This window comes from Homo sapiens, chromosome 11 (assembly GCF_000001405.40).
Source record: "Homo sapiens chromosome 11, GRCh38.p14 Primary Assembly".
NCBI lineage: Eukaryota > Metazoa > Chordata > Mammalia > Primates > Hominidae > Homo > Homo sapiens.
The window spans coordinates 30,848,421-30,862,316 of record NC_000011.10 but is presented as its reverse complement, the minus strand read 5'-3'; the positions used below and the strand labels follow the sequence as shown (position 1 = coordinate 30,862,316).

Here is a 13,896-nt window from a genome sequence, read left to right as displayed (position 1 = left end):
AATGAAGGTTAGCTAGGAAACTACCATCTATGGATCAGACATTATGCTAGTACTTTAGATGCATTGACCTGTTTAATCCACACAACTGTTATTAGCTCCACTTTGCATATCTGGAAACTGAGGCCCTGATGTTAAGTAAATTTGCCTCAACTCATGGCTAAGAAAGGGGTTAGAGAAGTATGAGACTAACAGCGTGGACACTAAACCCCTACACTAACCATGGCCCATTTGTTTATTCCAGAAGTGTTTATTGAGCACCTACCATATGCTACGTACTTACTGTATCAAGTTCATTTTGACATTAGCAGATAATATGTCAAGAGAAAGGAAAGTTCATAGAAGAGAAAACAAAAGGAGAAGGTGAATGCAAAGTGCACCCTACTTGTTCCTTTGATTGAACTCAGGAGAAACAACACTTTTTTTTTTTTTTTTTTTTGCTACCACTCTCTGAGCTTCTGGAATCTCTCCGTCTGCTCTCTGTTTGAACTTCAGCAAATATAAAACTTATATTTTCTCTGCTCCTGGAGCTTTCAGAATCCCAAAACATTTGGTTTAGATTAAATCCGTTGACTGAGGCATTATAATTCGGCTTCAACACAGATGATTCCATCAAGCATCGCCTTATCTAACCGAACTGCTTATTACAGTAACAGAGTACACTAGTCAGGGGGCAAGGGCAGGGCCAGGGGGAGAAGGTCATTCAGGTTTAGCAGCCACATGTACACAGCAGGGTGGTGTCCTTTTAGAATCGAGAGGAATGGATTCATAAAATCCAATCGGGAGCATGTGTGTGCATTTATACGAGCCTTTTTTTTTGACTGAATCTAAATTATAGAGATTTTAATAGCTCCAGTAATTAGACAAGTATGCAGTCAACCCCATTATGTTCCTGTGTAATATCACACTCCCTAGGGCCTACCTTTTCTGCTTGCTGGGCTCCCTGCATGGGCCCCCTTCCCCCTTATTTTCTACCATAGGGAAGCGGTTTTCTTTTCAAAGAGCTTACTGTTCACATTGTTTTTATCCCCTCAATCCGGAGGTTGGATTTGCTTTCTCAGGGGTTTCACCATTGCATTGGCTAGTTATGTAAGAAAAGGACAGAGCAGGCTCTTGCAGTTCATTTGCATCCCCACAGTGCCTGGTGCACGCGCTGGGAGCATGGTGGATGTGTTAACTTGAGAAGAGACTTCGCACAATGCCCGGTGCGGTGTAGATATTTCAAAATTGTTTACAACTCAAAACACTTGATGATCAGATTATTGACCTTAAAGGGAGCAGAAGCACATTATTCACTATCTTAAATTAGGAAATCTTTTGTAGAAAACTGCCTTTCTAGCTTCCTGATTGCCTCTCATTAGTTTTTCTCTCTATTTTTTTGTAACTTTCTATTATCCATAGTAATATTTCACTTTGTCAGCAGAGATAATCACCCTGCAGGTGCTGAGGGCTATATCTTGAGATATGTTGGCCATTTTGAATTTTTTTATATTGCTGTTTCTTCTAGAACTAAAAAAAAAAAAACAACTTTGGATGATTTAAAATTAAGGGCAGGATGTGCTGTATTAGTAAAATTATGCAGTTCATCCAATTAAGAGATTGACTTTTCCCATCTGCATGTCCCATACATATTTTCTTAGGGGCTGTCAGAAAGCAGCTTTGGTGCCATTTACTTTTTGTGATTTTTTCATGAAGATATTCTCAAGAATAATTGTAAAAAGATGTGTGGAGTTTAGTTTCTTGAGGTCAGCTTTTCCTATGCAGTCCTTCCCCACCAAAAGGAAAATAATAATCTATAATAAATTAACTATATTTCCTTCACAAGGATCTGAATGTTGTCCCCTAGAAAGCAATTCTAGAAGTCTATGAAGCTGGCCTCCACACTATCTAGAAACAAAAACAATCCCCAAAATAACATAAAATCAAATGTTTAAATCATCCTTGGAATTGAGTTAGTTGTCATTGGCAAACTGATACTCTCTTTTCTCTAGGAAGTGGTGACGGCAACAGTGGTGGGGCAATGGTACTGAGGCTTGGAAGTCAGTGATGTTTCCTAAGACTGTTGTCTAAAAATCTTTTCTACCAAGGGAGTAAAGGGATAACGAGCTGGGATATTTTTGAAGGATACTCACAATTTGCAACACAAATAAAATCTAGTTTAAAAATATGTGTGTTTTTTCAGCTCTAATGACTGAAAATGTTAAACTAAATATTTTGCTTAAACAAGTAAAGATGAAGGGGTTAGATGAGCAAATTAGAATGCAGAAGCTGCCTCTGCTGCCAGTTTTCCCTAGAAGAGAATGGCTAATTCATATGCGATGTATTCTTGTCTCTCCTTGGGAGAAAGAAAGTCTGCCCTGGGAGGAGCCCGGCTGTTCAGCATTTTGCTGCTGGTCAGGATTGATTCCAGATGTGGGAGGTAAATGCTAGAAAGAGTTTGGAAAATGGAGTGGAAATGAAAAATCCCTCAGGCCATTTGAGTGCTGATGACAGATGAGGTAGATATTTTCAGGTAACTAATGAACTTGCTGGGAGCTTGGAGAGTGCTTAGCCCAATAGATATTTAACAGGCAGGAAAGACCCAGCTGAAATACATGGCTGCTCCCATGCACTGTGCACCCAAAACAGGGGGAAACGGGGAGTCCCAAGGGTAACACATAAATATCGAAAGCTAAGACACAGCCAGCTACTCTGTAAATAAGCTGAATTTGCCTTTTCCTGAAGCTAATTCACAATTTATGCGTGGGTTTTTTTTTTTAATTTCTCATTATTTGATTTATCATGACTATTTCATCGTTCGAAGAAATATTTTTAAAAATGTTCCCCACGTGTAAGTCAGTCAGGCAGAAGAAGAGACAGAACAGCACAGTAGTTATAAGCAGAGTTTCTGGAGTGACTCAGACATGGGTTCAAATATTGGCTCTGCCACTTTCTACCTCAATTTTGAGCAAGTCACTCTCAGCCTCAGTTTCTTTATTTATAAAATGAGTAAAATCTTAATATTTATTTTGGATGAGTTGTGAGAATTAAGTGAGATGTTCTATGTAAAGCACTTAGCTCAACAGTCAATTAATGCTCAATAAATATAAAGCTAACATCATAATTTTTGTTATTTCAGGAATGGAGTTTGGGCCAGGAGGTGATACACCATCTCAGCATGAAAACAATTTAGTCTTTTTAGTAGTAGAGATTTTATGATTTATGAGCCATTCATATCATTAACAAGTGCTGCTATTTTCAACTTTAATATTGGTATTTCAGAGTTCTTGGTTGCAAGCAACAGAAATCTATCATTTACAACAAAAGCAACGAGGAGATTACATGAAGCGAAAGAGGGGGCTCACAGAATTGAAGGGATGCCGGAGAACAAGAAGCTGAAGGTAGGAAGCAGAGCAGGAGACACAGAAATCTATGGTACCTGGGGAAGACAGGCAGGTAGGTGAATAACTTCCTGTTATTTAACTTGGTTCCAGACCAGCCCAACATTCAAGGTCTCAGGAGAGAAGATCGTGCCTGACTGACCAGGCTCCATTCACATGCTCAAATCCTGGCTGAGAGGACAGGGAGAGGAAAGATATGTAGAAGATGAGCCCCCAGCATTAATCTCTCACCTCAGTTACAGACACAAGGAGAAACTGGGATACTATAAAGCAGGAAAACGTATGCTGGTAGCCAAAACTCATAAACATCCATCATTACTGATCCAATATTCTATAATGCTTTCCACAGATTTTTGCTTTCTTCTAAGCACATGCTCTTGGGTATAATGATCATGTTGCTCAAGTCACACTCCCAAGTTCTAAGAGCTGAAAAAGACTTAAAGGCAACTACCAGTTTCTCTTGCTTGACTTAGAAAGGGAAAGCAGTGCCTAGACTCCATCTCCAACCGGGTAACAATGGTCTGAGGAGAAAGACTATCTACACACACACACTGAAAGGGCCAGAAAGGTAAAGCCAGCATTGCCACATACAGTGGTGCAGATTGAGAAGGCAAGAGGGGACTGAAATTCAGTGTTCATTCCTCTCATAATGCCTCTGCCCAGAGGAAGAAACTTCTTTTTATAATTTTCACAAGGACACCCCCACATTGTCAAGCCCTGAACACATGATGTTACATCAGCTCAGAAGGGGTGCCATTTTTGAAGTTGGACAAAGTTACTTTATGGGCTAGTGGTGGCCCTTGCTAAATCCCACACTCCCCAGAAGGGAGGGAGAAAACAAATGAAACAGGGATGGCTGCCTCCCTCCTTTTCTTCCTTTTGGCATTTTTTATTGTCTTTTTCTTCTTCTTTCTCCTTGAATCAGAAAATCTCAACATTGAAGGAGCCTTGGACAACCACCTAATCCTATATTCATTGAATAGTTGAACTGTATCCACCCGGCGTAATACCCATGGCAACTGGTCTTCCACATGTAAGCATCTCCATGGACAGGAAATTTGCCACCTTACCACATAGCCCTTCTCCCTTCTGATAGTTCTGAGGAAAATTCTTTCTTACATCGACCTGAGATATAGGTACCTGTAATTTCTATTCTCTCTGATTAGTTCTTTATCTGTGGCTGCAATGAGCAAGCCTGACCCTTCTTACAAATGAGAGGCCTGTCAATAGTTGAAGTCCAATGTGATGCTTCTCCAAGGCTGTAACTTTCACACTCAGTCCTTGGGCAACATGATTTCATGATACATCTGGTGAAAACTTCTTTAATTTCTCTCTCATTCATATTATATAGCCTTCTTACAATGTGTCATCCAGAACTAAATGTAGCAGCCAAACATCTCCAAATGAAGCTTACTAGAATAATAAATATTAATAATTATAAAAATCATAATAAAAATAGCTGCCTCAACTAAATTAAAAACTTGCTATATGCCAGGCATTGTGATAAACACTTTACTTACGATATTTAATCATCATAACAACCCTTTCAGAGATTCTGTCATTTTTTCCTTTTATAGATGATGAAATAGCCTCTGAGAGGTTAAGTCACTCACCCAAAATTTCCACTGCCAGGAAGTGGTAGTGATGGGATTCAAACCTGGGTGGCCCTGAGACCAGAGCTTCCGCTCTACCCACTTCACTATACTTCTCTTACTACAGGTAAAAACCACATCAACTCTGTTCTTTTTTGCCATTTCTCCTGAGTGCTCACCAAGATTTTACCAACCTTTAGCAAATTATCTGATATCATTCAGTGCCAAGATTCTCATTCTGGTAGTCATTTGCATGAAACATTTTTCGATAGAGATTATACTGCCGGGTTCCATATACTGAGATATACATATACTGAGAGGAAGGGTATATCAAAAGTAGGTTGTGGAAGAGTAGGAAGCATTGCACCTAAACTTCCATGATTAACTCCATGTGTTTTACTCAAAGCATCAGGTTGCTCTTTAGACTTCTTGGTTGCTTTGGAAATTTTGATGGTGCTTTTTGGAGAGTGGCTTGGGAAGCCAAAAAAGAGTTGAGGGCAATTACTGCTTTAACCAAAACAATAGAACAGCAGGAAGTTCAGTGCAGTCCCCTAGCTTCTCCCCTTCTTTACTCATTTAATACTGGAGAAGTCTGTGAATTATGGTATACACTGAATTTCCAACTTCGTGGACATTGGCCCTTTTCATTATCTTAAGCTCTTTTCATTGCTCCGTTTCTGGGCCTTATGGGAAATGATTCAAGCACTCCATGGAAGATGATCAATTCTCAAGCTAACCCCAGGCAAGTATGAAGAATTCTCCCAAAATCACATGATAGCAAGCTGATAAGATTTCTCTCATCTTCAGTCAGTGAGAAGACCAAACTGCTTCAACAAGTTTGCTTCCTCAGGGATGGGTGTGGTGGCTCACTCCTGTAATCCCAGCACTTTGGGAGGCCCAGGCAAAAACATCACTTGAGCCCAGGAGTTCGAGACCAGCTTGGGCAACAGAGTGAAACCCCATCTCAAAAAGAAAAGAAAAAGAAAAAAAAAACAGTTTACTTCCATAGCTGCTACAGCTCTCCTAACAGTCCTAGAACTCTGGAAAGTCAGTAATCACCATAACTGAGTTCACTCTGCCCTTTAGTAACAGCATAATTAATTCTGTTAGGATTACGTCAATGAAAACATGTGTAAAACGGTGTCATAATACTAACTGTAAAATTCAGTGGCAAAATCCAGAGTGTTCTGAAGTAGCAGATCTCTGCTTCTTTAGGGCAAGAGTTCTCTTTAGTTTTGCCCATTCTTTTATCTCGGTCCCTAGCTTAGTGCTCAGCACATGGTAAACAGTCAATAACTACTTTTTGAACATCAGCTTTAACCTAACATAGAGGTGCCTTAAAAATGCCTAATCCTTCAAGAGGTTGTGAAACATCATGTATCTTTAAAATTGTCAGCTACTTTGAATTGTGAAGTCTTGTTTTTCTATTTGCTCCACACCTTAACCCCCTTAGATAAAATAGGCTACTTTTATTTTTCACCAGTTTGTCTTTCCACTACTGTCAATGGTAACTCAAACCTAAACCCTTTGATGGAGATATTTTCTTGTTTTAAATCGCCGCAGATGAAATGTTTAAAAGGAATTCCAAATTTTGGTCTCTTTCAAACTGACTCTGTGCTGAATATGTAACGTTACCTTTTAAATTTAGAGATTTTACTGGCTAAGATTTGTCACTTGGACCTCAAATTTTAGGAAGAAAATGCTAGATTATAATTCAAAAGATCAGTTTTACATTTTGTATGTAATATAGCCCACTAGGTGGCATATGAACACATGGAAAACTCGGTCTATGTATTAAAGATGAATCCAGTCTACTGTTTTAAAAATAGGTTTTAAATCCCGTTGAACTATGTGGTTGTAATAGTATTGAAACTCTTAGCATTTGTGAACTGGAAAATTTGGTGGTGACAGAACTGTGTTTCTGTATTAGATAAGAGATGTTCTAATAGAATCCTGCTGCTCCTTTTGATGGAATACCGTTCTGAAATTGCATCCAAGGATGAAAAAGTTGGTACCGTGGCACCCTGTCAAGTAGCTCCTGTTGCTGTGAGGTGTGATTAAAAGACACATAAGCCAGCAGAAAATGTGACACAAAGGGCATCTATATAAAAAATTAACAGACTACGTGATATCATTTAGGCCAGATTTAGAATCACAATAAAGACCTTGTTTTAGTCTGTTTTGTGCTACTATCACAGAATACCACAGACTGGGTAATTTATAATGAACAGAAATTTATTGGCTCACAGTTCTGGAAGCTGAAAAGTTGAGTATCAAGGTGATGGCACCTAACAAGTGTCTTCTGGCCGCATCATCACATGGCAGAAGGCGAGAGGGTGAGAGACGGAGCAAGAGGAGGCTAAAGGCACCCTTCCTAACAGTACCAATCCCACCATGGAGGTGGAGCCCTCATGGCCCTCAGCCCCCAGTACTGTTATGATAACAATTAAAATGTCAACATGAGTTTTGAAGGAGACAAACATTCAAACCATGGCAGCCCTCTTCCAGCATTCAGCATTTCTGGGCTAAGGAAATGGAAGCAGTTTGGATGAGGAAAGGAAGGCTTCCAGAAGAATCCCTCCTCCAGTGGGAGCAGAGCTGTGCCTGTTAAATGACATAGGTTTCTCCTTGACCAAACTCTACTCAGGCTCTTCTGAACTCTTTTTTTCAACTAGTCCTCTACTTTTGGACTTCTGTGTTCATCTTGGCATTGTCTAGCTCTAGCAAGAACACTGCTGGCCGAGCACGGTGGCTCACGCCTGTAATCCCAGCACTTTGGGACGCCGAGGAGGGCGGATCACAAGGTCAGGAGATCGAGACCATCCTGGCTAACACGGTAAAACCCCGTCTCTACTAAAAATACAAAAAAATTAGCCAGGCTCAATGGCGGGCACCTGTAGTCCCAGCTACTCGGGAGGCTGAGGCAGGATAATGGCGTGAACCCGGGAGGCAGAGCTTGCAGTGAGCCAAGGTCACGCCACTGCACTCCAGCCTGGGTGACAGAGCGAGGCTCTGTCTCAAAAAAAAAAAAAAAAGAACACTGCTAAGTCAGTTCAGCTATCCTCCATCTTTGATCACCTTTAATATCTAATCAGGTTCTTCATGCTCCACCATCCCTCAGGTGATGTCACCCTGGCCTGCCTTCAGCAAGAACCCCATTAGGTTGCTTTAGCTGCTATCGCCCTCTTATCCCTAATGTTTCCTCTTACCAGTTTTCACACTGAGCCTCTCTACCCCCCACAACTCTGCTTCTTGACTATAAATTTCCACTTTTCCTTGTTGTACTCAGAGTTGAGGCTACTGGGCTCAGAAAAAAATACCCCAGAGTATGGTGCTTTGACATGCTGGGGACTTTGATCTAAAGAAGCAGCATCAGAAACAAAGTCTCTCTGATCTCCCTCTCCCCTCAGTCCTGTTTCTCTCCTGAAGTGCAAGAAGGGGTTTTCTCTGAGTTTTTCCTCATCTGATTAAGAGAATTCCGTCCAGAAGGGCATGCAATTTTTGTAAACTCTTTCCCTGGAAACTACATTAACCAGAGAAGATTAATTCCTATGCAGGAGAGGAGACTAAAGGCCTCCAGGACCAGGATACACTGCCAGATAGACTTTTCACCTATTCTTCTGAGGGTAGTAACCCTCAGAAGGCTTTATCTGCATAATAAGACAACCTTTGTTTGCAATGCAGTTTCTCCCCTCACCCTCCTGTAGCTTGGCACCACTACCCTCCAGGAGCCTCTTTCTATAGCTCAAACTGCTATTTAAGCTTCAACCATCTGGCCCTTCTTTGAGTATCATATTTTGTATGGCTCCCATGCACATGTGCACATAATACATTTGTATTCCTTTTCTCCTGTTAATCTGTTTACTGTCAGTTTATTTCATAGACTCAAATTACCAAACCTTCAGAGGGAAAAAGGAAAAAGCTCCTTTCACCCCTACAGGTACAGTCACCTCTCTCCTGCACTGCAAAACCCCATCTCAGTTGTCCTACTCCTATTGCAATGGTCCTGAATAAAGTCAGTCTCACTGCCCTTTAACAAGCATCATGAATAATTTTTTCTTTAACACAACCTCTCAGCTGTGGCCCTTGTTCTGTTTAGATAACTAGCAATTTGGCCAAGAGTACATTTGAAGACCTCCTGCCATCTTTCGAACTTAATAAAAATAGCTTTAATAGCTACATGCTTTATGAAATAATATTTACCATCTTTGTTTAAAAATGTTCCGTTCTTTCAACATTTTACTCTAAGATCCTAGATCTTTAGAAAGTTTTTCTTGACTTTCTAGGCCTGGGTAAGTTACCCCCTGCGATGTGCTCCTATAACATCCTATGTTTCTGCTGTTATTGCCTCAATTACACAGGACCGTAACTACCTGTTTAAGACCTGTCTCCCCCTCTAGACTGAAAGCTCATTGAGGGTAGAGAACCTGGCTGCCCTGCTCACCACTATTTCCTCAGGGGGATGCATAGCAGTTCCTAGCACTAAAAAGGTATTTGCTGATTAAACAAAAATGACTTCCGAAGAAAGTGCATATATTGACCTCTAAATTAAAAGTCTTAAAATGTTTGCAAGGGATTCTCCATAACATAAAATTCAAAGTTATTCCCTTCCTTATATTCTCAGATTCCAGCCTCTATTTTTATGATGGTTCTGGCCTTCTGCTTTAAGTCACCACCAGAGCAAATAGCATCCAAAAACCGCCACCCAGAAATAACTTTGGGCTGTGCAAGCCAAATCAGAAGTATTCAATTAAATTAACATTTATTGACCACCAGTAAACATGAGAACCAAACTGTACAGAAAATATTTGGTATTTTATCCTCACCAGGGATGTTCCCCAGTGCATTATAATGTATCAAAATGTCTTATCATTTTTCTTTAATTAGATACCCTTGGATGGATGTACAAGAAACAGTGTACATTATGCAACAAAGTTTTTCTTAATTTTTGTCAAAGACAACCTTGCAAACAGGACTGGAGCTTCTAGCAGCTTCTGGCAAGGAAATTTTATAAATGAGAATTTGTAGCAGAGGTCACGAGTTTAGTCTCTGACATTGTATCAACTGGATTGGCATCCCAGCTCTACCACTTCCTGTCTTGAGACCTTGAGTACTTTATTTAACCTCTTATGAAGCTATAATTTTAAAAGGGTAAAAATAGCATTTATCTTATGGGGTTATTGGGAAGATTAAATGAAATAACATGCATAAGCTCTTAGCATAGTGGCTGGCCCATAGCAAGAGGTCAATAAACATTAGATATTATTATCATTATTATTTATCAGAATGGCTTTTCTTAGAAGCCTTTTGTAGTCAAAGACAGCCAAAATGAATATTCCATAGATTCTCTCATATATCTTTTGGTTCTGTCCATTAGACCCTGATATTGTTGCTGCAAATAAGTATACATGTGCCCCAAGAATATGCTAGGTTTTTGTATTGAAATCAGGAGCCACTGATAATCATCCGCCTCCTTTTCCTTTTTGGAATAACTTTTTCTCTCTATTATTCCCAAGATTAGGTGCTTCCCTCTATTTATTTAGTTATTCATCTGTCCAACAGACATTGATTGCTAAGTAGTAGGTTTTGTGAATGCATAAATTCTACTTCAGATAATCTGCAGTGTAGAGGGAAAAGTGAAACATGCACATACACATAACTTTAAAAGGTAGAAAGTGATGAGAGTCAGAGGGAAGAGACATAGCACAGTGGAATTCAGAGTGGGGAGTCGCTGCTGTACTATTTCAGGACTCACATTGTGTGCCCATATAGACAGAGAGATGCTAGAGAGGATACAAGAAAAATGGAAGCCACTGTTCTTGTGCTTGTTGGGGCTCGGAAAACAATATCCCGAAATGAAGGCCTCAGAAGCAAGTGTTTTTTTGACCTTCTCCTTCCCTCTTGTCTCTCAGTCCCATTCTCCCCTGAGGCTAGCTTTAGCCAAAGAAACTACAAATCCCTTTTCCCCAAGGTGGGACATAGAAACTAGAACCTCTTTGCCCACAAGCCCTTCATAAAACCTAAAAGTATTGCTCTAATTTTCCCTCTGCCTTTCAAAGTAAAAACTGCCCTAAAATAAATTATCTGACCTACCTTGTTTGACTGTAGTTCATAAGACTCCCCATTCTTGAGAAGGGCCTGCCCCACACCCAGAAGGAAGGAAAGCTGCACAAAGAAGCCAAGAAGGACCTAGACAGACCAGCCTCACTGGGTAACCCCACTTAGTCCACTAGCATTAGGTCATATCCTTTTTGTCTAATCATATTTCTACACAGCTGTTCATACTTTGTTAACCTAAGCATAAAAATGGACACTGTTCTCCTGTATCTGTCGGTCTTCATTCTGAATGCTCCTGTGTATGCACATTTAATAAATGTTTATGTATTTTCTCCAATTAATCTGCTTTTTGTGAGTTGATTTTTCAGCAAACCTTCAGAAGGCCAAGGGGAAAGCTCTCCCTTGTCCCCTACATGCTTAAGGTGTTTGGAAACTTGGAGGGAGACAAAACTCAAACCATGAGTGATTTCGGTCTATATCCCAGCGATTGCCCTGCCTGGCCCTCAACAGACCTTCTAGTTGGAGAAGGAAATATCCTGAAGAATATTTGTGAAAATGAAAACAAAAACACCAAGGCACCAATTTCATGCCTGGACGAGGATGTCTTGAGCTGAAGGAAGAAAATGAAAGCAACAGTTACGGCCTTATCACTATGAACAAGAAAGTCTTATAAGGGTGGAAACATTTTGCTTTATTTTTTTTGTCCCCATAGCACTTGGCTTCAAAGAACAAAAGATGGTGTTCACCAAGCAGACAACTTACCAAAGCCATTTTTTGAAATGATGCCCAATAATCAATATTAATTCAGTTTATATCAATGCATATTTATTAAATTCCTGGCATGATCAAGACATAGTGTTAGATGCTAGGGTAACACACAGACATAATGAAGACATATGATCTCTGCCTGCTCAACCCCAGGACACGACACTGAAGTCAAGTGGGTCAGATGAGATGAGATGGGCACAAATATCCATGCTACAAGGTTTAGTGTGGCAAGTCCTACAGGAGTAATATTAAGAAAAGAGCTGTGGAAGTACATAAAGCAGAGGGAAAGGATTTCTGTCTGGGTTACTGAGGAAGGCTTCATGGAGACAGTAGCGTTCCAACCAGGCCTTGAAGGATGGATGAGATATCAGAAGACTGTGTTGTAAGGAAGATCAATTTACGTGAAGGATGAATTTAAGCAGAGGTGTAGGCAGGGGATTGTCGAATGAATTGTAATATGGTCGAGTTAGAGAAGTGCTTTCCAATCTTTATGAAACCACAGGACCCTTCTTGAAGTGAGATTCTGCAGTGACCCACACTGTGCTTAGAACAGAGCTCTAGTCTAAAATCCTGGTTGCACTAGAAATTCACAAAGCCTGGTTTAATCCCCAGGGTTGAAAACCAGAGAATAGAAAGTCATCCTGGAAAGGCAGGGTGCAGCCTGCTTTGCATATCCAAGAGTAACTGTGGCCCCAGGGACAACCAGGAGCTTTGGGAGGTTTCTGAGCAGAGAAGTGACAAGATGAGCTATACTTTATGAGACTCCTCTGGCAATGATACATAAGATGGGTCAGAACAGGGGAAAACAACTTTATCTTGAAGCAATATAGGTTTATAGAAATTTAATAAGAAAATTATATATCATAATGAATCCCAAGAGCTATAAAAAGTGACCAAATCCACTGCCACAGTCCTGCAGAGGTTCTTTGTGACAGCCTTAGCTGCTAAGAAATTACCTCAGGCTGCAGCAGAGGAAAGAGTGCAGATTTTGTATTTCTAGAAACTAAGGTTGATGATGATATGGTTGAAGGCATGGGTTTTGAACTCACACAGACCTGTGTTTGAATTCCAGCTTTTAACAAAATTTCTTAAGCCCAAATGTCAATTCTCTCACCTGCAAAATCAAGATCGTATCAGCTTTGTAAGATTATTGTAGGGATTAAGTGAAGTCATTTATTTAAAGTGTTGAGCATAATGCTTAGCAATAGTTAGCACTCAAAACATAATTATTCTCCAAGACAAATTAAGTTACCACATTAAGAAGAGTGGGTGCCAGGTAGAATAGCAGAATCATTTACACTGATGTGGTTGCTGGGTTTCCCTTTGCTGATGCAAGCCTAGCCCTGTGCTGGATACTTTCTTCTCTTTGTTGAGCAGGGTTTCCACCAGCAAAGGCCTATTCCAAGGGCCCCAAAGACATTACTCACTTTCATTCCCACCCTCATTTAGTGGAGAGGCTCCTGTCTCTCATGTGTTGATCTGCACAACTAGTTTAGCAAGTTGAGCCTACAACAGAATTCCTAAGCAACAAAAGAGAGAAATGATTTTGTCCATACTATCAAGAAGCATGCTTTGTGGTTACTGTTAAGATAGATTGTGCAGCAAATTGGTGAAGGCCACATGGTGTGTCAGGGTGTATGTGCAGTAATTGAAAAGTATTGCTTGCACACTTTCAGAATCCGGGAAATCTCCTAGCAGACAATGGCATCAAGGAATAAACTGTATCATAAAGGATGGATTTTAGCTGCATCCAGGACAAATGTCGCACACATGCCTGGGGGGGGCGGGTCTAGGAAGGGCTGATGTTCCTGTTTTCCATGAGGCAGAGAGAAGTAAGGAACTTTGTCAAAAACAGCCTCTGTGCTCTCATTTCCTATTTTTAATTTGGCTCATCATTTTAAGCTTCCTCAGATGCCCACCTGGAGAGTCATGGCACGCTCTCACTCTGGTGCTTCCCAAATGTGTCCAGAATCTTCATCAATCTCTCTTGCTAATCCTCACTCCCAAGGCTTAAATCACCCATTTCCTCCAAAGTCTCTCATCTAGCTGGCAGTTGCACCACATTTCCACAATCACTAAATGCAGAAGGCTGAGTGAAGACT

The 13,896-nt window shown here is 40.5% G+C and overlaps 1 long non-coding RNA gene across 1 annotated transcript in view; it reads left to right on the top strand.

Annotated features, from left to right (window-relative positions):
- The first annotated feature begins 3,118 nt into the window (after nucleotides 1-3,118).
- The window catches only part of LOC107984419 (uncharacterized), a 28,828-nt gene continuing 18,050 nt past the window's right edge, over nucleotides 3,119-13,896 (top strand). Inside the window, exons 1-3 of the long non-coding RNA XR_001748485.1 lie at nucleotides 3,119-3,377; nucleotides 4,303-4,410; nucleotides 4,955-5,096. This is a non-coding gene — a long non-coding RNA (uncharacterized LOC107984419). The remainder of the gene's footprint in view (nucleotides 3,378-4,302; nucleotides 4,411-4,954; nucleotides 5,097-13,896) is intronic.